Source organism: Homo sapiens, chromosome 10, assembly GCF_000001405.40.
Source record: "Homo sapiens chromosome 10, GRCh38.p14 Primary Assembly".
NCBI lineage: Eukaryota > Metazoa > Chordata > Mammalia > Primates > Hominidae > Homo > Homo sapiens.
In genome coordinates, this window is record NC_000010.11 from 38,820,704 (window position 1) to 38,848,436 (window position 27,733).

Below are 27,733 nucleotides of genomic sequence, written 5' to 3' on the forward strand. Positions count from 1 at the left end.
GTGTCAAATGGAATTTATTCGAATAGAATGGAATCGAATGGAATGCAATAGTATGGAATGGAATCGAATGGAATTGAATCGAATAGAATTGGCTGGAATGGAATGGACTGGAATAGAACGGACTCAAACATAATTGATTGCAATGTACTAGATTTGAATGCAATGGATTCGATCGGAATGTAATCAAATGGAATGGAATGGTATGCAATGGAATAGAATTCGAACGGAATGCAATGGAATGGAAGGGATTAGAATCGACTGGAATGGAATCGAATGGAAAGGAATCAAATGGAATGGAATCGAATGGAATGGACTGGAATGGAATGGACTCGAATGGAATTGATTGGAACATAATGGATTCGAACAGATTGGAATTCAACAGAATGGAATGGAATGGAATGGACGCGAATGGAATGGAGTCGAATGGAATGGAACCAAATGGAATGAAATGGAATGGAATTGTAAGGAATAGAATGGAATGGATTGTAATGGAAAGATATCAAATGGAATGGAATGGAATGTATTCAAATGGCATGGATGGGTTTGGAAAGGACTCGAATGGAATGGAAACTAATGGAATGGAATGGAAAGGAAAAGAATAAAATGGAATGGAATCGGATGGAACCGAATGGTATGAAATGAAGTCGAATGGAATAGAATCAAAAGGAATGTCATCGAATGGAATAGAATGGAGTGGAATGGAATGGACTCGATTGAAATGGACTCGATTGTAATAAAATAGAATGGAATTGCATCTAATGGAATGGAATGGAAGGTAGTTTAATGGAAAGATTTCGAATGGAATGGAATGGACTGGAACGGAATGTACTGGAATGGAAGGGACCTGAATTTAATGGACTGGAGTGGAATGGACTAGAATGGAATGGAAACGAATGGAATGGAATGGAATAGATAGATTCGGATGGAATGGAATGGAATGCAATGTAGTCGAACGGAATAGAATCAAATGAAATGGCATCGAGTAGAATTGAATGTAATCAAATAGAATGGAATCAAATGGAATAGAATAGAATGGATTGGCATCAACTGGAATGGAATGGAATGTATTGGAATGGAATTTAAATAAATGGACCCAAATGTAATGGGCTCGAATGGAATGGATTCAAATAGAATGGACTGGAAAGGAATGGTTTCGAATGGAATTTATTCGAATAGAATGGAATCAAAAGGAATGCTATAATATGAATTAAAATCGAATGGAATGGAATGGAAAGGAATAGAATGGAACCAAATGGAATGGACTCTAATGGAATGGACTCAAATGGAATGTAATCTAAAGGAATGATCCCGAATGGAATTTACTCCAATAGAATGAAATCGAATGCAGTGCAATAGTATGGTATGGAATAGATTGGAATTGAATGGAATGGAATGGAATGGAATGGAATAGAATGGAATGGAATGGAATAGAACGGACTCAAATGTAATGGAGTGGAATGTACTTGATTCGAATGGAATTATATCGAATGGAATGTAATAAAATGGAATGGAATGGAACACAAGAGAATGGAATAGAATGGAATGGAATGGAGTGGAATCAAGTAGAATGGAATCGAATGGAATGCAATCAAATGAAATGGACTGGAATGGAATGGACTTGAATGGAATTCCAGTCATGGAGTAAAATGGAATGGAACCGATTGGAATTGAATGGAACAGAAGGGAATGGAATGGAAGGGAATGGAATCGAATGGAATTGAGTTGAATGGAATGGAATCGAATTGAATGGAATGGAGTGGAATGGAATTGAATTGAATGGATACCAATGGAATGGAATGGAAGGGGAAGGAATGGAATGGAATGGAATGGAATGGGATGGAACAGAATGGAATGGAATGGATTCGAATGGAATAGAATCGAATGGAATGGCTTCGAATGGAAAGGAATGGAATGGAATGGAATGGACTCAAATGGAATGGACTCAAATAGAATGGACTCGAAAGGAATGGTCTCGAATTCAATTAATTTGAATAGAATGGAAACGAAAGGAATGCAGTAGTATGGAATAAAGTCGAATGGAAAGTTATCAAATGGAATGGACTGGAAAGGAATGGACTGGAATATAATGAAAACGAATGTAATGGATTGCAATGTGATTGATTGGAATGGAATGGAATTGAATGGTATGTAATCAAATGTAATGGAATGGAATGCAATGGAATGGAATAGAACAGACTGCAATGGAATGGAACACAGTGGAATCGAATGGAATGGAAACCAATGGAATGGACTGGAATGGAATGGAGTCGAATGGAATGGACTGGAACATAATGGAATCTAACGGAATATACTTCAAAAGAAGGGAAAGGAACAGAATGGAATGGGCTCTAAATGAATGGAGTGGAAAGGAATGGAATTGAATGGAATGGAACTGAATGGAATGGAAAGGAATAGAATGGAATATAATGTAATGGAATGTTATCGAATGGAATGGAATGGAATGGATTCGAATGGAATGGAATTGAATGGAATAGAATCGAATGGAATGATATCGAATGGAATGAAAAGGAATGGAATGGAATGGAATGGACCAAAATGTAATGGACTCAAATGGATTGGACAGAAATAGAATGGACTCGAAAGGAATGGTCTCGAATGGAATTTATTTGAATTGACTGGAATCGAATGGAATGCAATAGTATGGAATGGAATAGAGTGGTATGTAATTGAATGGAACGGACCGGAATGGAACAGACTGGAATAGAATGGACTCGAATGTAATGGATTGCTATGCAATAGATTCAAATAGAATGGAATTGAATGGAATATAATCAAATGAAATGGAATGGAATGCAATGGAATGGAATAGAATGGAATGCAATGCAATGGAAAGGAGTGGAATCGAGTGGAAAGGAATTGAATGACATGGAATCGAATGGGATGGAATAGAAAGGAATGTACTGGACGGAATGGAATAGTATGGAATGCAATAGAATGGAAAGGAGTGGAATCGAGTGGAAAGGAATTGAATGACATGGAATCGAATGGGATGGAATAGAAAGGAATGTACTGGATGGAATGGACTCGAATGGAATGGACTGGAACAAAATGGCATCGAAGGGATTGGAATTGAACAGAACGTAATGGAATTGCATGGAATGGACTCGAATGGAATGGAGTTGAACGGAATGGAACCAAAAGGAATGGAAACGAATGGGATTGAACCGAATGTTATGGAATTGAATGGAATGGCACTTAATGGAATTGAAAGGAATAGAATGGAATGGAGGGTAATGGAAAGATATCAAACCGAATGGAACTGAATGGACTCGAACGGATTGGACTGGAATGCAATGGACTCGAATAGAAAGGCCTGTAGTGTAATGGATTAAATGGAATGGAAACAAAAGGAATGGAATGGAATTGAATATAAAGGAATCGAATGGAATGGAATTGGATGGAATTAAATGGAATGGAATGGAATCGAATCGAATCAAAAGGAATGGCATCAAATGGAATGGAATGGAATGGAATGGACTCGAATGGAATGGACTGTAATGGAATAGAATAGAATGGAATGGCAATGAGTGGAATGGATTGGAATGGCATGGAATGGAGTGGACTCAAATATAATGGACTCGAATGGAATAGACTCAAATAGAACGGAATCAAACATAATGGTCTCGAATGGAATTGAATCAAATAGAATGGAATCGAATGGAATGCAGTAGAATGGAATGGAATCCAGTGGAATAGAATCAAATTCAATGGACCGGAATGGAATGGACTGGAATAGAATGGACTGCAATATAATGGATTGCAATGGAATTGATATGAATGGAAAGGAATCAAATGGAATGGAATCAAATGGAATGTAATAAAATGGAATGGAATGGAATGCAATGGAATGCAATGGAAAGCAATAGAATGGAATGCAATGGAATGGACCAGAGTGGAATCCAGAGGAATGGAAACGAATGGAATGGAATCAAATGGAATGGACTGGAATGGAATGGACTGAAAGAAAATGGAATCGAACGGATTGGAATCGAATGGAGTGGGATGGAATGGAATGCATTGGAATGGACTCAAATGGAATGGAGTGGGATGGAATGGAATGCATTGGAATGGACTCAAATGGAATAGAGTCGAATGGAATGGAATTAAATGGAATGGAATCGATTTTAATGGAACTGGATGGAATCAAAAGGAATAGAATGGAATGGAGTGTAATGGAAAGATTTCGAATGGAATGGAATGGAATGGACACGAATGGAATGGGCTGGAATGGAATGGACTCGAATGGAATGGACTGGAGTGGAATGCACTCGAAGGGAATGGAGTCGAAAGGAATGGAATCGAATGTAATGTAATCGAACGGAATGGAATTGAATGGAATCGAAAGGAATAGAATCGATTGGAAGGTTATCGAATGGACTGGAATGCAATGAACTCGAATCTAATGGACTGGAAAAAAATGGAATAGAATGGATTGGAATTGAAGGGAACGGAATGGAATAGAATGGACCCAAATGTAATGGACTTGGATGGAATGGACCCAAACATGATGGACTCGAAAGGCATGCTCTCAAAAGGAATTTATTCGAATAGAAAGGAATCAAAAGCAATCCGATAGTATGGAATACAATCGAATGGAATGGAATCGAATGGAATGGACTGGAATGGAATGGACTCGATTGGAATGGACTGGAGAGGAATGGAGACAAATGGAATGGAAACGAATGGAATTGAATGGAATGGAATGGAAAGGAATAAAGTGGAATTGAATCAGATGGAAAGAAATGGAATGGAATAGAATAGAGTTGAATGGAATAGAGTTGAATCAAATGCTATCAAATGGAATGGAATGCAATGGACTCGAATTGAAGGAACATGAAAGGAATACAATCAAACGGAAAGCCATCAACTGGAATGGAATGAAATGGAATGGAATGGAATCAACTGGAATGGACTCGAACGGAATGGACTCAAACAGAATGGATTCGAAAGGAATGGTCTCAAATGGAATTTATAAGAATTCAATGGAATCGAATGGAATGCAATATTATGGAAAGGAAACAAATGGAATGGAATCTAATGGAATGGACTGGAATGGAATGGACTGGATTAGAACAGACTTGAATGTAATGGATTGCAATGTAATTGATTAGAATGGAATTGAATTGAATGGAATGGAATCAAATGGATTGGAATGGAATGACATGGAATGGAATATAACGGAATGCAATGGAGTGAAACGGAGTGGAATCGAGTGGAATGGAATCGAATGGAATAGAATCGAATGGAATGGAATAGAATGGAATGGAGTCGAATGGAATGGACCAGAACAAATTGAAATCGAACGGAAAGGAATGGAATGGAAAGGACTTGAAAGTAATGGAATCAAATGGAATGCAATCGAAGGGAATGGAACCAAATGTAATGGAATTGAATAGAATAGAAAGGAATAGAATGGAATGGAGTGTAATGGAAAGATATCAAATGGATTGGACTGGAATGGAATGGACTCGAATGGAATGGTTTGGAATGGAATGTACTCGAATGGAATGGACTGGAGTAGAATGGACTCGAATGGAATCGACTGGAGAGGACTGGCCTCGAAAGGAAAGGAAGCAAATGGAATGGAATGGAATGGAATGGAATGGAATGGAATAGAATGGAAGGGAATAGAATTGAATGGAATGGAATGGAATAGAATTGAAGGGAATAGGATGGAACAGAAAGGAATGGAATGGGTTGGAATGGAATTGAATCGAATGGAATGACATCAAATGGAATGGAATGGAATTCAATGGAATGGAATGGAATGGACTCGATTGGAATAGAATAGAATGGTATGGCATCGAATGGAATGCACCCAAATATAATGGATTCAAACGGTGTGGACTCCAACACAATGTACTTGAATGGAATGGTCTCGAATTTAATTTATTCTTATAGAATGAAATCGAATGAAATGCAATAGTATGGAATGGAATCGAGTGGAATGGAATAGAATGGAGTACACCGGAATGGAATGGACTGGAATAGAATGGACTCGAATGGAATGGGTTGAAATATAATTGATTCGAATGGAATGGAATCGATGGAATGTAATCAAATGGAATGGAATGGAATGCAATTGAATGGAATAGAATGGAATGCAATGGAATGGAACGTAGTGGAATTGACTGGAAAGGAATCTAATGGAATGGAATTGAATGGAGTGGTATCGAATGGAATGTACTCCAATGGAGTGGACTGGCACAAAATGGAATGAATCGGATTCAAATAGAACGGAACGGAATGGAATGGAATGGAATGCAATGGACTCAAATGGAATGGAGTCGAAAGGAATGGAACTGAATGTAATGGAATTGAATGGGATCAAAAGGAATAGAAAGGAATGGAATGTATTGGAAAGATATTGAATGGAATGCAATGGAATGGAATGGAATCCAATGGAATGGACTGGAATGGAGTGGACTAGCACAGATTGGACTGGATTGGAGTGGACTCGAATGGAATGGAAACGAGTGGAATGGAATGGAAAGGAATAGACTGGAATGTCATCGAATGGAATGGAATTGAATGGAAAGGAATGGACTCGAACAGAATGGACTCGAATGGAATAGGGTAGAATGGAATGGCATCAAATCGAATGGAGTGGAATGAAATGTAAGGGAATGGAATGGACCCAAATGTAATGGACTGGAATGGAATGGAATCAAATAGAATGGACTCAAAAGTAATGGTCTCAAATGGAATTTATTCGAATAGAATTGAATCGAATGGATAGCAAAAGTATGGAATGGAATCGAATGGAATGGACAGAAATGGAATGGACTGGAATAGAATGGACTCAAGTGTAATGGATTGCAATGTATGATTCTAAGGGAATGGAATCGTATGGAATGTAATCAAATGGAATAGAATGGAATGCAATCGACTGGAAAAGAATGGACGTGAGTGTAGTAGATTGTCATGTAATTGATTCAAATGGAATGGAATCGAATGAAATGTAATACAGTGGAATTGAATGGAATGCAACAGAATGTAACAGAATGGAATGAAATGGAATGGAATGAAGTGGAATCGGGTGGAATGGAATTGAATGAAATGGAATTGAATGGATTGGAGTGTAATGGAAAGATATCCAATGGAGTGGAAGGGAATGAAATGGACTCAAATGGATGGGAATGGAATGGAATGGACCCGAATGGAATTCACGGGAGTGGAAAAGACTCCAATGGAATGGACTGGAGTGGAATGGACTCAAATGGAATGGAAACGAAAGAAATGGAATGGAAAGGAATATAATGGAGTGGAATCGGATGGAACGGAATGGAAAGTAATGGAGTCCAATGGAATAGAATCGAAAGGAATGTCATCAAATGGAATAGAATGAAATGGAATGGAATGGAATGGACTCAAATTGAATGGATTCTCAAGAAATATAGTCAAATGGAATGGCATTGAATGGAATGGAATGGAATGGAATCGAATGGACCGAAATGTAACGGTCTCAAATGGAATTTAATCAAATAGAATAGACTCAAAAAGAATGGGTTCGATAGGAATTCATTCGAATAGAATAGAATCGAATGGAATGCAGTAGTATTGAATGGAATCGAATGGAATGGAATCAAATGGAATGGACCAGAATGGAATGGACTGGAATAGAGTGGACTCGAATGTAATGGATTGCAATGTAATAGATTAAAATGGAATGGAATTGAATGGAATGTAATTAAATGTAATGGAATGGAATGCAGTGGAATGGAACTGAGTGGAATCGAGTGGAATGGAATCGAATGGAATGGAATCAGATGGAAAGGAATCGAACAGAATGGACTGGAATGTAATGGACTCGAATGCAATGGACTGGAACACAATGGAATTGAACGGACTGGAATCAAAGGAGCGGAATGGAATGGAATGAAAGGGACTCGAAAGGATTGGACTGGAATGGAATGGACACCAACGGAATAGACTGGAGTGAAATGGACTCGAATGGATTGGAAAGGAATGGAATGGAAAGAATATAATGGAATGGAAACGGATGGAACAGAATGGAATGGAATGGAGTGGAATGAAATAGAATCCAATTGAATGGCATTGAATAGAAAGCAATGGAATGGAAAGGAATGGAATGAAATGGACTCGAATGGAATGGACTAGAATGGAACAGAATAGAATGGAATGTCAAGGAATAGAATGGAATGGAATGGATAGGATTAGAATGGATTGGACCCAAATGTAATGGAAACAAATGAAATGGACTAAAATAGAATGGACTTGAAAGGAATGTTAACGAAAGGAATTTATTCAAATAGAATGGAATCGAATTAAATGCAATAGTATGGAACGGAATCGAATGGAATGGAATCGAATGGAATGGCCCGGAATGGAATGGACTCGAATGGAATGGACTGCAATGTCATTGATTCGAAAGCAATGGAATCGAATGGAATGGACAGCCATGTCATTAATTCGAAAGCAATGGAATCGAATGGAATATAATCAAATGCAATGGAATGGAATGCAAGGGAATGGAATTGAATGTAATGCAATGGAATGGAACTTAGTGGAATCGAGTGGCATGGAATCGAAGGGAATGGAATCAATTGGAATGGACTGGAATGGAATGGACTCTAATGGAATGGACTGGAGCATAATGGAATCGAACGGATTGGAATTGAATGGAACGGCATGGAATGGAATGAAATGGAATGGTCACGAATGGAATGGAGTCGAATGGAATGTAATCAAATGGATTGACATCAAATATAATGGAATTGAATGGAATTGAAAGGAATAGAATGGAATGCAGTGTAATGGAAGATACCGAAAGGAATGGAATGGAATGGAATGGACTTGAATGGAATTGGCTGGATAGGAATGGACTCAAATGGCATGGAAAGGAATGGAATGGAATGGAAAGGAAAGGAATAGAATGGAATGGAATCAGATGGAAAGGAAAGGAATGGAATGGTGTTGAATGGAATAGAATCGAATGGAATTGCATCGAATGGAATTGAATGGAATGGAAAGGAATGAAATGGACTCCAAAGGAAGGGAATCGAATGGAAGGGAATCGAAAGGAATGATATCGAATGGAATGGACTGGAATGGAATGTACTTCAACGGAATGCACTGGAACAAAATGGAATCTAACGGATTGGAATTGAATGCAACGGAATGGCATGGAATGGAATGAAATAGACTTGAATAGAATTTAGTCAAATGGAATGGAATTGAATGGAATGGAATTGAATAGAATGAAATTGAAAGGAATCGAAAGGAATAAAAGGGAATGGATTATAAAGGAAAATTATCGAATGGAATGGAATTAAATGGAATGGACTGGAAGGGAAAGGACTCAAGTGGAATCGACTGGAGTGGAATGGACTCGAATGGAATGGAATGGAATGGAAAGGAATAGAATGGAATAGAATCGGATGCAACGGAATGGAATGGAATGGAGTCAAATGGAATTGAATCGAATGCAATGGCATTGAATGGAATGGAATGAATCAAATGGAATCGACTTGAAAGGAATACAATCAAATTGAATGGCATGGAATGGAATGGAATGGACACAAATGTAATGGACTCCAATGGAATGTACTCAAATATAATGGACTCGAAGGGAATGGTCTCGAATGGAATTTATTCAAATAGAATGGAATCGATTTGAATGTCATAGTATGGGATGAAATCGAATGGAATTCAGTCGAATGGAATGGATCTGAATGGAATGGACTGGAATAGAACGGACTCAAATGTAATGGATTGCAATGTAATTGATTTGTATGTAATAGAATTGAATGGAATATAATCAAATGGAATGGAAAGGAAAGCAATGGAATGGAATAGAATGGAATGAAGGGGAAAGAAATGGAGTGGAATCGAGTTGAATGGAGTTGAATGGAATGGAATCAAATGGAATGGAATTGAACGGAATGGACTGGAATGGAATGGGATCGAATGGATTGGACTGGAACAAAATGGAATCAAATGGATTGGAGTTGAATGGAACAGAATGGAGTGAAATGGAATGGAATAGAATGGACTCGAATGGAATGGCATCTACTGCAATGGAATTGAACGGAATGGAATGGAATTTAAAGGAATAGAATGGAATGGAAAGGAATGGAATGGTGTTGAATGGAATAGAATCAAATGGATTGGCATCGAATGGAATGGAATGTATTGGAATGGATTGGAATGGAATGGACCCAAATGTAATGGACTCGAATGGAATGTATTAAAATAGAATGGACTCGAAAGGAATGGTCCCGAATGGAATATATTCAAATAGGATGGACTTGAAAGGAATGGTCCCAAATGGAATTTATTCAAATAGAATGGAATCGAATGGAATTCCATAGTATGAAAAGTAATCGAATAGAATGAAATCGAATGGAATGGACCGGAGAGGAATGGACTGGAATAGAAAGGAGTTGAACGTAATGTATTGCAATGCAAATGATTTGAAAGAATTGGAATCGAATAGAATGTAATCAAATGGAATTGAATGGTACGCAATGGAACGGAATACAAAGGAATGCAATGGAATGGAACGGATTGGAATTGAGTGAAATGGAATCGAATCGAAAGGATTTGAGTGGAATGGAATCGAATGGAATGGTCTGGTTTGGAATGGACTCGAATGGAATGGACTGGAACAAAATGGAATCGAACGGATTGGAGTCGAATGGAAAGGAATGGAATGGAACGGAATGGAATGGAATGGAATGGAATGGAAAGGAATGGAGTCGAATGGAATGGAGTCGACTGGAATGGAACCGAATGGAATGGAATCGAATGGATTGGAAGTGAACGGAATCGAAAGGAATAGAATGGAACGGAGTGTAATGGAAATATATCAAATGGAATGGAACGTAATGGAATGGACTCGAATGGAATGGACTGGAATGGAATGGCCTCGAATGGAATAGACTGGAGTGGAATGGAATCGAAAGGAATTGAAACGAATAGAATGGAATGGAATGGAAAGGAATTCAATAGAATGGAATGGAATCGGAAGGAATTTAATGGAATGGAATGGATTCAAATAGAAGAGAATCGAACGGAATGGCAAAGAATGGAATTGAATGGAAAGGAATGGAATGGACTTTAATGGAATGGAATCAAATGGAATGGCATCGAGTTGAATGGAAAGGAACGGAATGGAATGGTCCCAAATGTAATGGACTCGAATGGAATGGACTCACATAGAATGGACTCGAAAGGAAGGGTCTCGAATAGAATATACACGAATAGAATGGAATCGAAAAGAATGCAATAGTTTCTAAAGGAATTGAATGGAATAGAATCGAATGGAATGGACTGAAGTAGAATGGAGTCGAATGTAATCGAATGAAAAATAATTGATTTGAGTGCCTTGGAATCGAATGGAAGGTAATCAAATGGAATGGAATGGAATGGAGTACAACGAAATGGAAAGGAATTGAATGCAAAGGAATGGTATAGAATGGAATACAATGGAATGGAACAGAGTGGAATTGAGTCAATGGAATCGAATGGAATGGAATCGAATGGAATGGACTGGTATTGAATAGAATCGAATGGATTGGCCTGGAAAAAAATGGAATCAAACAGATTGGAATCAAACGAAACACAATGGAATGGAATGGAATGGAAAGGAATGGAATGGAGCCAAATGTAATGGACTCGAATGGAATGGACTCAAATAGAATGGACTCGAAAGGAATGGTCTCAAATGGAATTTATTCTAATAGAATGGAATCGAATGGAATGCAATAGTATGGAATGGAATCGAATGGAATGGAATCAAATGGAATGGAACGGAATGGAATGGACTGGAATAGAATGGACTCGAATGTAATGGATTGCAATGTAATTGAAATGAATTAAATAGAATTGAATGGAATGTAATCAAATCAAAAGGAGTGGAATGCAATGAAATGGAATATAATGGAATGCAATAGAATGGAACAGAGTGTAATTGAGTGGAATGGAACAGAATCGAATAGAATCGAATGTAATGGAATCTAATGGAATTGAATTGAATGGAATGGAATTGAATGGAATCGAAAGGAATAGAATGGAAAGGAGTGTAATGGAAAGATATTGAATGGAATGGAATGGAATGGACTCCAAATGAATGGATTGGAATGGAATAGATTCGAATGGAATGCACCGGGGTGTAATGGACTCAAATGAAATGGAAATGAATGGAATGCAATGGAATGAAATGTCATGGAATGGAACGGAAAGGAATAGTATGGAATGGAATCAGATGGAACTGAATGGAATGGAATGGAGTCGACTGGAATAAAATCGAATGGAATGGCATCGAATGGAATGGAATGGAATGGAATTTAATGGCAACTAATGGAATGGAATGGAATCGGAAAGATTGGAATGAAATAGAATGGAGATGAATTGAATAGAATCTAATTTAATGACATTGAATGGAATGGAAAGGACTGGAATCGACTCAAATGGAATGGAGTTGAATTTAATAGAATGGAATGGAATGGCATCGAATGGCACGGAATGTAATGAAATGGAGTGGAAAGGAATGGACCCAAATGTAATGGACTCAAATTGAATGGACAAATAGAATGGACTCGAAAGTAACTGTCTTGAAAGGAATTTATTCGAATAGAATGGAATCTAATGGAATGCAATAGTATGGAATGGAATGGAATGGAATTGCATCGAATGGAATAGACCTGAATGGAATGGACTGGAATAGAACGGACACGAACGTGATGGACTGGAATGTAATCGAATCGAAAGGAATGGAATCGAATGGAAAATATTCAAATGGAATGGAATGGAATGCAATGGAATGGAATGTAAAGGAATGGAACAGAGTGGAATCGAGTGGAATAGAATCGAATGCAATGGAATCGAATCGAATGCAATGGACTCGAATGGAATGGACTGGAACAAAATGGAAGCAAACCTATTGGAATCGAACGGCATGGAATGGAATGGAATGGAATGGAATGGAATGAAATGGACTCGAATGGAATGGACTCAAATGGAATGGAACAGAATTAATGTAATTGAATGCAATCGAAAGGAATAGAATGAAAGGGAGTGTAAAGTAAAGATATCCAATGTAATGGAATGGAATAGAATGGACTCGAATTTACTGGGATCGAATTTAATGAACTGGAATGGAATTTACTCGAATGGAATGGACTGTAACAAAATGGAATCGAATGGATGGAATCGAACGGAACGTAATGGAATGGAATGGATTCCAATGGAATGCACTGGAACAAAATGGAATCGAATGGATTTGAATCGAATGGAAAAGAATAGAATGGAATGGAGTCGAATGGAATGGAAATGAATGGAATGGAATTGAATGGATTTGAAAGAAATAGAATGAAACGGAGGGTAATGTAAAGATGTCCAATGTAATGGAATGGAATAGAATGGACTCAAATGGGCTGCAATGGAATGGAGTTGAATAGAATGGACTGCAGTGGAGTGGACTCAAATGAAATGGAATCGAATGGAAAGTAAAGGAATGGAATGGAATAGAATAGAATGGAATGGAATTGGATGGAAAGGAATTGAATGGAATGGAGTCGAATGAAATGGAATCGAAAGGAATGGCATCGAATGGAATGGAATGGAACGGAATGGACTAATGGGATGGTCTCGAATGTAATAGAATAGAATGGAATGGCATGGAATAGAATGGAATGGAACCAAATGTAGTGGACTCGAATGGAATGGACTCAAATAGAATGGACTCTAAAGGAATGGTCTGAAATGGAATTTATTCGAATAGAATGGAATCGAATGGAACGCAACAGTATGGAATGCAATCGAGTGGAATGGAACAGAACTGAATGGACCGGAATGCAATGGATTGCAATAGAATGGACTCGAATGTAATGGATCGAAATGTAACTGATTCAAATGCCTTGAAAGCGAAAGGAATGTAATCAAATGGAATGGAATGGAATGTGAAGGAATGGAATAGAATGGAATGCAATTCAATGGAACGGAGTGGAATCGAGTGGAATGGAAACAAATGGAATGGAGTCGAATGGAATGGAATCGAATGGAATGGATTCAAATAGAATGGACTCGAATGGAATGGACTGTAACAAAATGTAATCAAACGGAATGTAATCGAACAGAATGGAATGGAATGGAATGGAACAGAATGGATTCAAAAGGAATGTAGTCGAATACACTGGAATTGAATTGAATGGAATCAAACGGAATGGAATTGAATGGAATCGAAAGGAATAGAATGGAATGGAGGGTAATGGAAAGATATCAAATGGAATAGAAAGGAATGGACTCGAAAGGAATGGACTGGAATGGAATGGACTCAAATGGAATGGAAACGAATGGAATGGAATAGAATGGAATGGAATGGAATGGAAAGGATTATAATGGAAAGGAATCTGATGGAACGAAATGAAATTGAATGGAGTTGTAGGGAATAGCATACAATGGAATGGCATCGAATGGAATGGAATGGAATGGACTCAAATGGAATGGAGGCAATTGGAATAGAATCGAATGGAATGGCATCGAATGGAATAGAATGGAATGGAATGGACTCGAATGAAATGGAAACGAATGCAATGGAATGGAATGAAATGGAAAGCAATAGAATGGAATGAATCGGATTGAACAGAATGGATTGGAATGGAGTCAAATGGAATATAATCGAATGGAATTGCATGGAAGGGAATGAATGGATTCGAATGGAATGTACTCGAATGGAAATGAATCGAATGAAATGGAATCGAATGGAATGGAAAGGAATGGAATGGAATGGAATGGAACCAAATGAAATGGACTCGAATGGAATGGACTCAAATAGAACAGACACGAAAGAAATGGTATCGAGTGGAATTTATTCGAATAGAATGGAATCAAATGCAAAGCAATAGTATGCATTGGAAATCAATGGAATGGACCGGAATGGAATGGATTGCAATAGAACGGACTCGAATGTAATGGGTTGCAATGTACTTGATTCGAATGCAATGGAATCGAATGGATTGTAATCAAATGGAATGGAATGCAATGCAATGGAATGGAATAGAATGGAATGCAATAGAAGGGAATGGAGGGGAATCAAGTGGAATGGAATAGAATTGAATGGAATTGAATGGAATGGACTGGAATGGATTGTACTCCAATGGAATGGACTGGAACAAAACGGAATATAACGGATTGGAATCGAACTGAAAGGAATGGAATGGAGTGGATTGGAATGGAATGGAGTGGAATGGAATGGAATGGAGTCGAATGGAATGGAACCGAATGGAATGGAAATGAATGGAATCGAAAGGAATAGAATGAAAGGCAGGGTAATGTAATGATATCCAATGGGATAGAATGGAATAGAATGGACTCGAATGGACCGGAAAGGAATGGACTCGAATGGAATGGACTGCCGTGGAATCGACTCAAAAGAAATGGAAACGACTGGAAAGGAAAGGAATGGAATGGAATAGAATAGAATGGAATGGAATCGGATGGAACAGAATGGAATGAAATGGAGTCGAATGGAATAGAATCGAGTGGAATGGCATCGAATGGAATCGAATGGAATGGAATGGCATGGAGTCGAATGGAAAAGAATCGAATGGAATGGCATCGAATGGAATGGAACGGAATGGAATGGAATGGAATGGGAAGGAATGGACTCGAATGCAATGGACTCAAATGGAATTTAATAGAATGGAATGGTATCGAATGGAATGGAATCGAATGGACACAAATGGAAAGGAAAGTAATATAATGGAACGCAATGGAATGGAATGGAATGAATGGACCCAAATATATTGGACTAGAATGGAACGCACTCAAATAGAATGGACTCGAAAGTAATGGTCTTGAATGAATGTATTCGATTAGAATGTAATCGAATGGAATGCAATAGTATGGAATGGAATCGAAAGTAATGGAATCGAAGGGAATGGACCGGAATGGAATGGACTGGAATAGAATGGACTCAACTGTAATGGATTGAACTGTAATCGATTAGAATGGAATGGAATTGAATGTAATGTAAAAAAATGTAATGGAATGCAAGGCAATGGAATGGAATAGAACGGAATGCAAGGCAATGGAATGGAATAGAATGGAATGCAATGGAATGGAACGGAGTGAAATCAAGTGAAATGGAATCGAATGGAATGGAATCGAATGGAATGGAATCGATTGTAATGGACTGGAATATAATGGACTCGAATGATTTGGACTAGAAAAAAATGGAATCGAACAGATTCGAAATGAACGGAACGTAATGGAATGGAATGGAATGGAATGGAAAGGACTCCAATGTAATGGAGTCGCATGGAATGGGATTGAATGGAATGGAATGGAATATAATGGAATTGAATGAAATTGAAAAGAATATAACGGAATGGAATGGAATGGAATGGAAAGAAATGGAATGGAATGGAATGGACTCAAATGGATCATACTGGAATGGAAAGAACTCGAATGGAATGGACTGGAGTTGAATGGACTCGAATGGAATGGAAACGAATGAATGGAATGGAAAGGAATAGAATGAAATGGAATGGAATAGAATGGAATGGAATCGGATGGAACGGAATGGAATGGAATGGAGTAGAAAGGAATAGAATTGAATAGAATGGCATCGAATGGAATGGAATGGAATGGACCCAAATGTAATAGCCTCGAATGGAATGGACACAAATAGAATGAACACGAAAGGAATGGTCTCAAATGGAATTCATTCAAATAGAATGGAATCGAATGGAATGCAATAGAATGGAATCAAAACGAATGCATTGGAGTCGAATAGAATGGACTGGACTGGAATGGACTGGAATGGAAAGGACTCGAAAATAATGGATTGCAATGTAATTTATTTGAATGGAATGCAATTGAATATACTGTAGTCAATTGGATTGGAAAGGAATGAAACGGAAATTAATAGAGTGGAATGCAATGGAATGGAACAGAGTGGAATCGAGTGGAATGGAAACAAATGCAATGGAATCAAATGGAAGGGATTCGAATGGAATGGACTGGAAAGGAATAGACTCGAATGGAATGGACTGGAACACAATGGAATCGAACGGATTGGAATCAAACAGAACAGAATGGAATGAAATGGAATGGATTCGACTGGAATGGAGTCAAATGGAATGGAACAGAATAGAATGGAATTGAATGGAATCGAATGCAATAGAACGGAATGGAGAGCAATGGAAAGATATTGAATGAAATGGAATGGAATGGACTTGAATGGAATGCACTGGAATGGAATGGACTCGAAAAGAATGGACTGGAGTGGAATAGACACCAGTGGAAGGGAAACGAATGTAATGTAATGTAATGGAATGCATTGGAATGGAATGACATTTCATAGAATGGACTGGAATCGGAAGAAATGGAATGGAATGGAATAGAGACAAATGGAATTGAATGGAATGGAATGGCATCGAATGGAATGGAATGGAAAGGAAGGGAATGGACTCGAATGGAATGGACTCAAATGGAATAAAATCGAATGGAAGTTCATGGAATGGAATGGAATATGATGTAATGGAAGGGCATGGAATGGAATGGAATGGAAAGGAATGGAGTGGAATGGACCCAAAAGTATTAGACACGAATGGAATGGACTCACATAGAATGGACTCGAATGGAATGGTTTTGAATGGAATTTATTCAAATAGAATGGAATCGAGTGGAATGAAATAGTATGGAATGGAATCGAATGGAATGAAATCGAACGCAATCAACCGGAATGGAATGGACTGGTATAGAATGGACACGAATGTAATGGATTGCAATGTAACTGATTCAAATGGAATGGAATCGTATGGAATGTAATCAAATGGAATAGATTGGAATGGAATGGATTGGAACAGAATGGAATACAATGGAATGGAACGGAGTCAAATTGAGTGGAAAGGAATCGAATGGAATGGAATCAAATGGAATGGAATCGAATGTAATGGACTGGAATGGAGTGGACTGGAATAAAATGGGATTGAACAGATAGGAATCGAGCAGAACAGAACGGAATGGAATGGAATGTCCTCGAATAAACTGGAATGGAATGGAAAGGAAGAAAATGGAATCAAACGAATTGGAATCGAGTGGAACGAAATGGAATGGAATGGAATGGACTTGAATGCAATGGGGTCAAATGGAATGGAATTGAATGGAATGGAATCAAAAAGAATGGAATTGAATGGAATCTAAAGGTATAAAATGGAATGGAGTTTAAAGGAAAGATATCGAATGGAATGAAAAGGAATGTACTTGAATGGAATGGACTGGAATGGAATGGACTCGAATGGAATGGACTGGAGAGGAAGGGTCTCGAATGGAATGGAAACGAATGGAATGGAATGAAAAGGAAAGGAATAGAATGGAATGGAATATGATGGAATGGAATGGAATGGAATGGAATGGAATGGAATGGACTCGAATGGAATGGACACTAATGGAATTGAATACAATGTAATGGCATCAAATGGAATGGAATGGAAGGGAGTGTAATGGAAAGATATCAAACGGGATTTAATGGAATGGAATGGATTCAAATGGAATGGACGGGATTGGAGTTTACTCAAATGGAATGGACTGGAGTGGAATGGACTCGAATGGAATGGACTGGATTGGAATTTACTCAAATGGAATGGACTGGTGTGGAATGGACTCGAATGTAATGGAAACGAATGGAATGGAATGGGATAGAATGGAGCCAAATGTAATGGACTCAAATGGAATGGACTCAAAGAGAATGAACTCAAAAGGAATGCTCTCAAATGGAATTTATTCGAATAGAATGTAATAGAATGGAATGCAACATTATGCAATGGAATCAAATGGAATCCAATATTATGGAATGGAATTCAATGGAATAGAGTCGAATGGAATGGACTGGAATAGAATGGTCTCGAATGAAATGGACTGCAATGTAATTGATTCAAATGGAATGGAATCGAATGTAAGGTAATCAAACTGATTGGAATGGAATGCAATGGAATGGAATTGAATGGAATGCAATGGAATGGAAAGAGCAGAATCGAGTGGAATGGAATCAAATGGAATGGAATCGATTGGAATGGACTGGAATGTAACGGACTCAAATGGATTGGACTGGAACAAAATGCAATCGAACAGATTGGAATCGAATGGAAAAGAATGGAATGGAATGAAACGGAATGGAATGGAGTGGAATGGTATCGAATGGTATGGAGTTGAAAGGTATGGAATCGAATTAAATGGAATGAAATAGAATGGAATTGAAAGGAATCAAAAAAAGAATGGAATTGAGTGTAAAGGAAAGAAATCGAATGGAATGGAAAGGAATGGATCAAACGGAATGTACTGGAATTGAACTGACGCTTATGTCATGGACTAGAGTGGAATGGACACGAATGGCATGGAAACGAATGGAATGAAAAGGAATGGAATGGAAAGGAATACAATGGAATGGAATCGGATGGAATGGAATGGAATGGAAACGAATGGAAGAGAATTCAATGGAATGGCATCGAATGGAATGGAAAGGAATGAACTGGAATGGACTCGAAAGGAATGGACTAGAATGGAATAGAATCAAATGGAATGGCATCGAATGGAATGGAATGGAATTTAATGGAATGCAATGGAATGGAATGGACCCAAATGTAATGGACACGAATGGAATGGACTCAAATAAAATGGAATCGAATGGAAGGGACTCGAATGGAATTTATTCGATTAGAATGGAATTGAATGGAATGCAATAGTATGGAATGGAATCGAATGCAATGGAATCGAATGGAGTAGACTGGAATGGAATGGACTCGAATAGAACGGACACGAATATAATGGATTACAATGTAGTTGTTACGAATGGATTGGAATCCAATGGAATGTTATCAAATGGAATGGAATGGAATGCAATGGAATGGAATGGAAAGGAATGGAATGCATTGGAATGGAATACAGTGGAATGCAATGGAAAGGAACGGAGTGGAATCAAGTGGAATGGAATCAAAGGGCATGGAATGGAATCGAATGGAATGGAATCCAATGGAATGGTCTGGAAGAAAATGGAATGATACGGACTGGGAACGAACGGAAGAGAATGGAATGGAATGGAATGGAGTGTAATGCAAAGACATCGAAAGGAATGCAATGGAAGGGACTCGAATGGAATGGAATGGAATGGAATGAAATGGACTCGATTGGAATGGACTGGAGTGGAATGGACTCGAATGGACTGGAGACGAATGGAATGCAAAGGAATGGAATGGAATGGAATGGAAAGGAATAGAAGGGAATGCAATCGGATGGAACGGAAAGGAATGAAATGCTGTCGAATGGAATACAATCGAATGGAATGGCATCGAAAGGAATGGAATGGAATGGAATGGACTCAAATAGAATGGACTCAAAATGAATGGTCTCAAATGTAATTTATTCGAATAGAATGGAATCGAAAGGAATGCAATAGTATGAAATGGAATCGAATGGAATGGAATTGAACGGAATGGAACGGAATGGAAAGGACTGGAATAGAACCGACACAAATGTAATGGATTGCAATGTAATTGATTCAAATGGAATGGAATCGAATGGAATATCATTGTATTGGATGGAAGGGAATGCAATGGAATGGAATAGAATGCAATGCAAAGGAAAGGAACGGAGTGGAATCAAGTGTACTGGAATTGAATGGAATGGACTAGAAAGGAATGGACTCAAATGGAATGGACTCAAATGGAATAGAATACAATGGAATGGCATCGAATATAATGGAATAGAAAGGATAAGAATGGAATGCAACCAAAAGTAATGGACTCGAAAGGAATGGACTCAAATAGAATACACTCGAATGGAATGGTCTCAAATGGAATTTATTCGAATAGAATGGAATCGAATGGAATGCAATAGTATGGAATGGAGTCGAATAGAATGGAATCGAATGAAGTGGATCGTAATGGAATGGACTGGAACAGAACAGACTCAAATGTAATGGATTGCAATATAATTGACTGGAATGGAATGGAATCGAAAGGAATGTAATCAAAAGTAACAGAATGGAATACAATGGAATGGAATAAAATGTAATGCAATGGAATGGAATGGAGTAGAATCGAGTGAAATGGAATCGAGTGGAATGGAATCGATTGGAATGTACTGGAATGGAGTGGACCGATATGGAATGGACCCGAATGGATAGGACTGGAACAAAATGGAATTAAACACACTGGAAAGGAATGGAACAGAATGGAATGGAATGAACTCGGGTGGCATGGAGTCAAAAGGAATGGAACCGAATGGAATGTAATTGAAAGGAATTGAAAGGAATAGAAGGGAATGAAGTGTAATGGAAAGTTATTGAATGGAATGCAAAGGAAATTAATGGAGTCGAAAGGAATGGACTGGAAAGGAATGAAATCGAATGTAATGGACTGGAGTGGAATGGAAATGAATGGAATGGAAACGAATGGAATGGAATGAAAATGAAGAGAATGGAATGGAATCGGATGGGATGGAATCGAATGAAATGGTGTCGAATAGAATAGAATCAAATGGAATGGCATCGGAAGGAATGGAATGGAATGGAATGGACTCAAATAGAATGGATTCAAAATGAATGGTCTTGAATGTAATTTATTCGAACAGAATGGAATTGAAAGGAATTCAATAGTATGGAATCGAATCGAATGGAATGGAACTGAACGGAATGGAATGCAATGGAAAGGACTGGAATAGAACGGACTCGAATGTAATGGATTGCAATGTAATTGATTCAAATGGAATGGAATCGAATGGAATATCATCGTATGGGATGGAATGGAATGCAATGGAATGGAATAGAAGGCAATGAAAAGGAAAGGAACGTAGTGGAATCGAGTGTAATGGAATCGAATGGAATGGAATCGAATGGAATGGAATCGAATGGAATGTATTGGAACAAAATGGAAATGAACCGACTTGAATTGAATGGAACGGAATGGAGTGTAATGGAATCGAATGCAATGGAATCGAATGGAATGGAATTGAATGGAATAGAAAGGAATAGAATGGAATTGAATGTAATGGAACAATATGGAATGAAATGAAATGGAAAGGAATGGACTCGAATGGAATGGACTGGAAAGGAATGGACTCGAATGGAATGGAATGTACTGGAGTGGATTTGAATGGAATGGATATGAATGGAATACACTGGAATGGAAAAGAATAGAATGGAATGGAATCAGATGGAATGGAATGGACTCAAATGGAATGGACTCAAATTGAATAGAATAGAATGGAATGGCTTCGAATGGAATGGAATGGAGGGGAGTGTAATGGAAAGATAGCGAAAGGAATTTCATGGAATGCAATGGACTCCAATGGAATGGACTGGATTGGAATTTAATGGAATGGAATTGACTGGAGTGGAATGGATTCGAATGGAATGGAATGGAATGGACTTGAATGAAATGGACTGTATTGGAATTTACTCGAATGGAATGGACTGGAGTGAAATGCACTTGAATGGAATGGAAACAAATGGAATGGAATGGAATGGAATGAAAAGGAATAGAATGGAATGGAATCAGATGGAACGGAATGGAATGTAATGGAGTCGAATGGAATAGAATCGAATGGAATTTCATTGAATGCAATGGAATGGACTCGAAAGGAATGGACTCGAATGGAATAGAATACAATGGAACAGCATCGAATATAATGGAATAGAATGGAATGGAATGGAAGGGACTCAAATGTAATGGACTCGAAAGGAATGGACTCAAATAGAATGCACTTGAATGGAATGGTCTCGAATGGAATTTATTCGAATAGAATGGAATCGAATGGAATGCAATAGTATGGAATGGAATCTAATAGAATGGAATCGAAAGAAATGGATCGGAATGGATTGGACTGGAATAGAACGGACTTGAATGTAATGGATTGCAATGTAATTGATTGGAATGGAATGGAATCGAATGGAATGTAATCAAACGTAATGGAATGGAATGCAATGGAATGGAATAAAATGGAATGCAATGGAATGGAATGGAGTGGAATCGAGTGGAATGGAATCGATTGGAATGGAATCAATTGGAATGGACTGGAATGGAATGGACTGTTATGGAATGGACTCAAATGGATAGGACTGGAACAAAATGGAAACGAACGCATTGGAATGGAATGGAATGGAATGGAATGAAGGAATGGAATGGAAAGAACTCTAGTGGAATGGAGTCAAAAGGAATGGAACCAAATGGAATTTAATTGAAAGGAATAGAAAGGAATAGTAAGGAATGAAGTGTAATGGAAAGTTGTCGAATGGAATGCAAAGGAATTTAATGGAGTCGAAGGGAATGGACTGGAATGGAATGGAATTGAATGGAACGGAGTGGAGTGGAATGGACTCGAATGAAATGGAAATGAATGGAATGGAATGGAATGGAATGGAATGGAATGGAATGGAAATGAATGGAATGGAATGGAATGGAATGAAAATGAATACAATGGCATGGAATCGGATGGAATGGAATGGAATGAAATGGACTCGAATGGAATAGAGTCGAATTTAATGGCATCGAAAGGAATTTAATGGAATGGAGTGGATTCGAATGGAATGGACTCGAGTGGAATAGAATAGAATGAAATGGCATCGAATGGAATGGAATGGAATGGAATGGAGTGGACCCAAATGTAATGGACTCAAATGGAATGGACTCAAATAGAATGGACACGAAAGGAATGATGTCGAACGGAATTTATTCGAATAGAATGGAATCGAATGCAGTGCAATAGTATGGAATGTAACCGAATGGAATGCAATCGAATGGAATGGAACAGAATGGAATGGACTTTAATAGAATAGACTCGAATGTAGTGGATTTCAAAGTAATTGACTTGAATGGAAAGGAAGCAAATGGAATGTAATCAAATGTAATACAATGGAATGAAATGGAATGGAATAGAATGGAATGCAATTGAACGAAACAGAGTAGAATGGAGTGGAATGGAATCGAATGGAATTGAATGGACTCGATTAGAATGGAGTAGAATGGAGTGGAATAGAACAGAATGGAAACGAATAGAATGGAATTGAATGGAATCGAAGGGAATAGAATTGAATGGAGTGTAATGGAAAGATATCTAAAGGAATGGAATGGAATGGAATAGCATGGAATTGTCTGGAATGGAAAGGACTCGAATGGAATGGACAGGTGTGGAATGGACTAGAATGGAATGGAAACAAACGGAGTTGTATGGAATGGAATGGAATGAAAAGGAATAGAATGGAATGGATTGTAATGGAATGATATCGAATGGAATGGAATGGGCTCGAATTCAATGGACTGGGATGGAATGGACTCGAATGGAATGGACTGGAGTGGAATGGACACGAATGGAATGGAAACGTATGGAATGGAATGGAATGGAATTGGATGGAAAGGAAAGGCAATGGAATGGAGTTGAATGGAATAGATTCGTATGGAATGACATCAAACGAAATGGAATATAACGCAATGGAATGGAATGGAATGGAATGGAAGGGACTCGAATGGAATGGACTCGAATGGAATAGCATCGATTGGAATGTCATCAAATGGAAGGGACCCAAATGTAATGGACTCGAATGGAATTGACTCAAATATAATGGACTCGAAAGAAATGGTCTCGATTGGAATATATTCGAAAAGAATGGAGTCGAATGGAATGCCATGGTATGGAATGGAATCTAATGGAATGGAATCGAATGGAATAGAACCGAATGGAATGCACTTTAATGGAATGGACTCGAATGGAAGGGAATGGAGTGGAATGGACTCGAATGCAATGGAAACGAATGGAAAGGAAAGGAATGGAAAGGAATAGAATGGAATGGAATTGGATGGAATGGTATGGAAAGGAATGGAATCGAATGGAATAAAATCGAATGGAATGGCATCAAATGGAATGGAATGGAATCGAATGGAATTGAATGGAATCGAATGGAATGGAGTCGAAAGGTATAGAATCAAATGGAATGGCACCGAATGGAATGGAATGGAATGGAATGTAACCAAATGTAATGGACTCGAATGGAATAGACTCAAATAGAATGGACTCAAAAGGAATGGTCTCGAATGGAATTTATTCGAATAGAATGGAATTGAATGGAACGCAACAGTATTGAATGTAATTAAATGAAATGGACCGGAATGGAATAGACTGGAACAGAACGGGCTCAAATGTAACGGAATGCAATGCAATTGATTTGAATTTAGTGGAATCAAACGCAATGAAATCAAATGGAATGGAATGGTTTGCAATGGCATGGAATAGAATGCAATGCAATGGAATGTAACGGAGTGGAATTAAATCGAATGGAATGGATTTGAAAGAATGGAATCAAATGGAATGGACTCGAATGCATTGGAATGGAACAAAATGGAATAGAATGGATTGGAAATGAACGGAATGGAACGGAATGGAATGGAGTGGAATAGACTCGATTGGAGTGGAGTCAAATGGAATTTAACCGAATGGAATGGAATGCAATTGAAAGGAATCAAAATGATTAGAATGGATTGGAGTTTGATGGAAAGATATGGAATGGAATGGAATGCTATGGACTCTAATGGAATGGACTGGAATGTAATACACATGAACGGAATGGACTGGAGTGGAATGGTCTTGAACGGAATGGAATGGAATGGAAAGGAATGGAATGGAATGGAAAGGAATGGAATGCAATGGAATGGAATGGAATGGAATTGGATGGAACGGAATGGAAAGGAATGGAGTTGAATGAAATATAATCCGATGGAATGATATGTAATGGAATTGCATGGAATGGAACGGACTCGAATGGAATGGACACGAATAGAATAGAATAGAATGGAATGGCATCGAATGGAATGGAATGGAATAGAATGGAGTGGACCCAAATGTAATGGACTCCAATGGAATGGACTCAAATAGAATGGAATCAAAAGGAATGGTCTCGAATGGAATTTATTAGAAAAGAATGGAATTGAATGGAATACAGTAGTATGGAATGGAATCGAATGGAACGGTATCGAATGGAAGGGACCACAATGGAATCGAATGGAATAGAATGGACTTGAATGTAATGGATTGCAATACAATAGAATCGAATGGAATGGAATCGAATGGAATGTAATCAAATGGAATTGAATGGAAAGCAATGGAATAGAATATAATGGAATTCAATGGAAAGGAATAGAATGGAATGCAATGGAATGGAACAGAGTGGAATCAAGTGGAATGGAATCGAATGGAATGGAATCGAATGGAATGGACTGGAGAGGAATGCAATTGAATGGAATGGAATTGAACAAAATGGAATTGAAATGATTGGAATCGAACAGAACGGAATGGAAGGGAATGGAATGGAATGGAAAGGAAAGGAATGGAATGGAAAGGAAAGGAATGGAATCAAAACAAATGGAGTCGAATGGAATGGAATCGAATGGAATGGAATCGAATAGAATGGAATTGAATGGAAATGAAAGGAATAGAACGGAATGGAGTGTGATGGAAATATTTCAAATGGATTGGAATGGAATGGACACAAATGGAAGAAGTGGAATGGAATGAACTCGAAGGAAGTGGGTGGGAGTGGAATGAACTAGAATGGATTGGAAACGAATGGAATGGAATGGAACGGAAAGGAATAGAGTGGAAGGGAATCGGATAGAATGGAACAGAATGGAATGGAGACAATGGAATAGAATCGAACGGAATGGCATCGAATGGAATGGAATGGAATGGACTCGAATGGAATGGACTCGAATGGAATAGAATCAAGTGGAATGTCATCGAATGCAATGGAATGTAATGGAATGGACTCGAAACGAGAGGCCTGGAATGGAATGGACTAGAATGGCATGCAAAAGAATCGAATGGAATGGAATGGAATTTAATGGAATGGAAAGTAATAGAATGGAACAGAATCGGATGGAACGGAATGGAATGGAATGGAGTCAAATGGAATAGAATCGAATGGAATGGCATCACGTGGAATGGAATGGAATGGAATGGAATGGACTCTAATTTAATGGAAACGAATGGAAAGGAATGGACTGGAATGGAATGGACTAGAATGGAATAGAATAGAAAGGAATGGCATTGAATGGAATGGAATGGATTGGAATGGAATGGACACAAGTGTAATTGACTCGAATGGAATGGACTCAAATAGAATGGAATCAAAAGGAATGGTCTAGAATGGAATTTATTTGAACAGAATGGAATCGAATGGAATGCAATAGTATGGAAGGGAATCAAATGGAATGGAATTGAATGGAATGGACTGGAATGGAATGGACTGGAATAGAATGGACTCGAAAGTAAAGTATTGCAATGTAATTGATATGAACGGAATGGAATCGAATGGAATGAAATCCAATGGAATGGAAAGGAATGCAATGGAACGCAATAGAATGGAATGCAATGGAATGGAACGAAGTGGAATTTAATGGAATGGAATCAAATGAAATGAAATCGAATAGAATGGACTCAAAAAGAATGGAATGGAATGGAATGGACTCGAGTGTAATGGACTGAAACAAAATGGAATCGAACGGATTGGAATTGAAAGGAACGGAATTGAATGGAATGGAAGAGAATGGACTTGAATGGAATGGAGTCGAATGGAATGGAACCGAATGGAATGGAATTGAAAGGAATCGAAAGGAATAGAATGGAATGGTGTGTCGTGGAAAGATATTGAATGGAATGGAAGGAATGGAAAGGACTCGAATGGAATGGACTGGAATGG

At 38.2% G+C, this 27,733-nt stretch overlaps 8 annotated features.

The window, feature by feature from the left end:
• Positions 6,065-7,002: an enhancer, noted in NCBI's record as "OCT4-NANOG hESC enhancer chr10:39119899-39120836 (GRCh37/hg19 assembly coordinates)". NCBI's record gives its function as "activates a minimal SCP1, AML or CMV promoter by ChIP-STARR-seq in naive H9 embryonic stem cells {active_cell/tissue: H9 hESC(naive)}" and the evidence as "EXISTENCE:reporter gene assay evidence [ECO:0000049][PMID:30033119]".
• Positions 7,191-7,692: an enhancer, noted in NCBI's record as "OCT4-NANOG-H3K27ac hESC enhancer chr10:39121025-39121526 (GRCh37/hg19 assembly coordinates)". NCBI's record gives its function as "activates a minimal SCP1, AML or CMV promoter by ChIP-STARR-seq in naive H9 embryonic stem cells {active_cell/tissue: H9 hESC(naive)}" and the evidence as "EXISTENCE:reporter gene assay evidence [ECO:0000049][PMID:30033119]".
• Positions 22,287-23,134: an enhancer, noted in NCBI's record as "OCT4-NANOG-H3K27ac-H3K4me1 hESC enhancer chr10:39136121-39136968 (GRCh37/hg19 assembly coordinates)". NCBI's record gives its function as "activates a minimal SCP1, AML or CMV promoter by ChIP-STARR-seq in naive and primed H9 embryonic stem cells {active_cell/tissue: H9 hESC(naive and primed)}" and the evidence as "EXISTENCE:reporter gene assay evidence [ECO:0000049][PMID:30033119]".
• Positions 23,135-23,982: an enhancer, noted in NCBI's record as "OCT4-NANOG-H3K27ac-H3K4me1 hESC enhancer chr10:39136969-39137816 (GRCh37/hg19 assembly coordinates)". NCBI's record gives its function as "activates a minimal SCP1, AML or CMV promoter by ChIP-STARR-seq in primed H9 embryonic stem cells {active_cell/tissue: H9 hESC(primed)}" and the evidence as "EXISTENCE:reporter gene assay evidence [ECO:0000049][PMID:30033119]".
• Positions 23,983-24,830: an enhancer, noted in NCBI's record as "OCT4-NANOG-H3K27ac-H3K4me1 hESC enhancer chr10:39137817-39138664 (GRCh37/hg19 assembly coordinates)". NCBI's record gives its function as "activates a minimal SCP1, AML or CMV promoter by ChIP-STARR-seq in primed H9 embryonic stem cells {active_cell/tissue: H9 hESC(primed)}" and the evidence as "EXISTENCE:reporter gene assay evidence [ECO:0000049][PMID:30033119]".
• Positions 24,831-25,678: an enhancer, noted in NCBI's record as "OCT4-NANOG-H3K27ac hESC enhancer chr10:39138665-39139512 (GRCh37/hg19 assembly coordinates)". NCBI's record gives its function as "activates a minimal SCP1, AML or CMV promoter by ChIP-STARR-seq in primed H9 embryonic stem cells {active_cell/tissue: H9 hESC(primed)}" and the evidence as "EXISTENCE:reporter gene assay evidence [ECO:0000049][PMID:30033119]".
• Positions 25,679-26,526: an enhancer, noted in NCBI's record as "OCT4-NANOG-H3K27ac hESC enhancer chr10:39139513-39140360 (GRCh37/hg19 assembly coordinates)". NCBI's record gives its function as "activates a minimal SCP1, AML or CMV promoter by ChIP-STARR-seq in primed H9 embryonic stem cells {active_cell/tissue: H9 hESC(primed)}" and the evidence as "EXISTENCE:reporter gene assay evidence [ECO:0000049][PMID:30033119]".
• Positions 26,527-27,374: an enhancer, noted in NCBI's record as "OCT4-NANOG-H3K27ac hESC enhancer chr10:39140361-39141208 (GRCh37/hg19 assembly coordinates)". NCBI's record gives its function as "activates a minimal SCP1, AML or CMV promoter by ChIP-STARR-seq in primed H9 embryonic stem cells {active_cell/tissue: H9 hESC(primed)}" and the evidence as "EXISTENCE:reporter gene assay evidence [ECO:0000049][PMID:30033119]".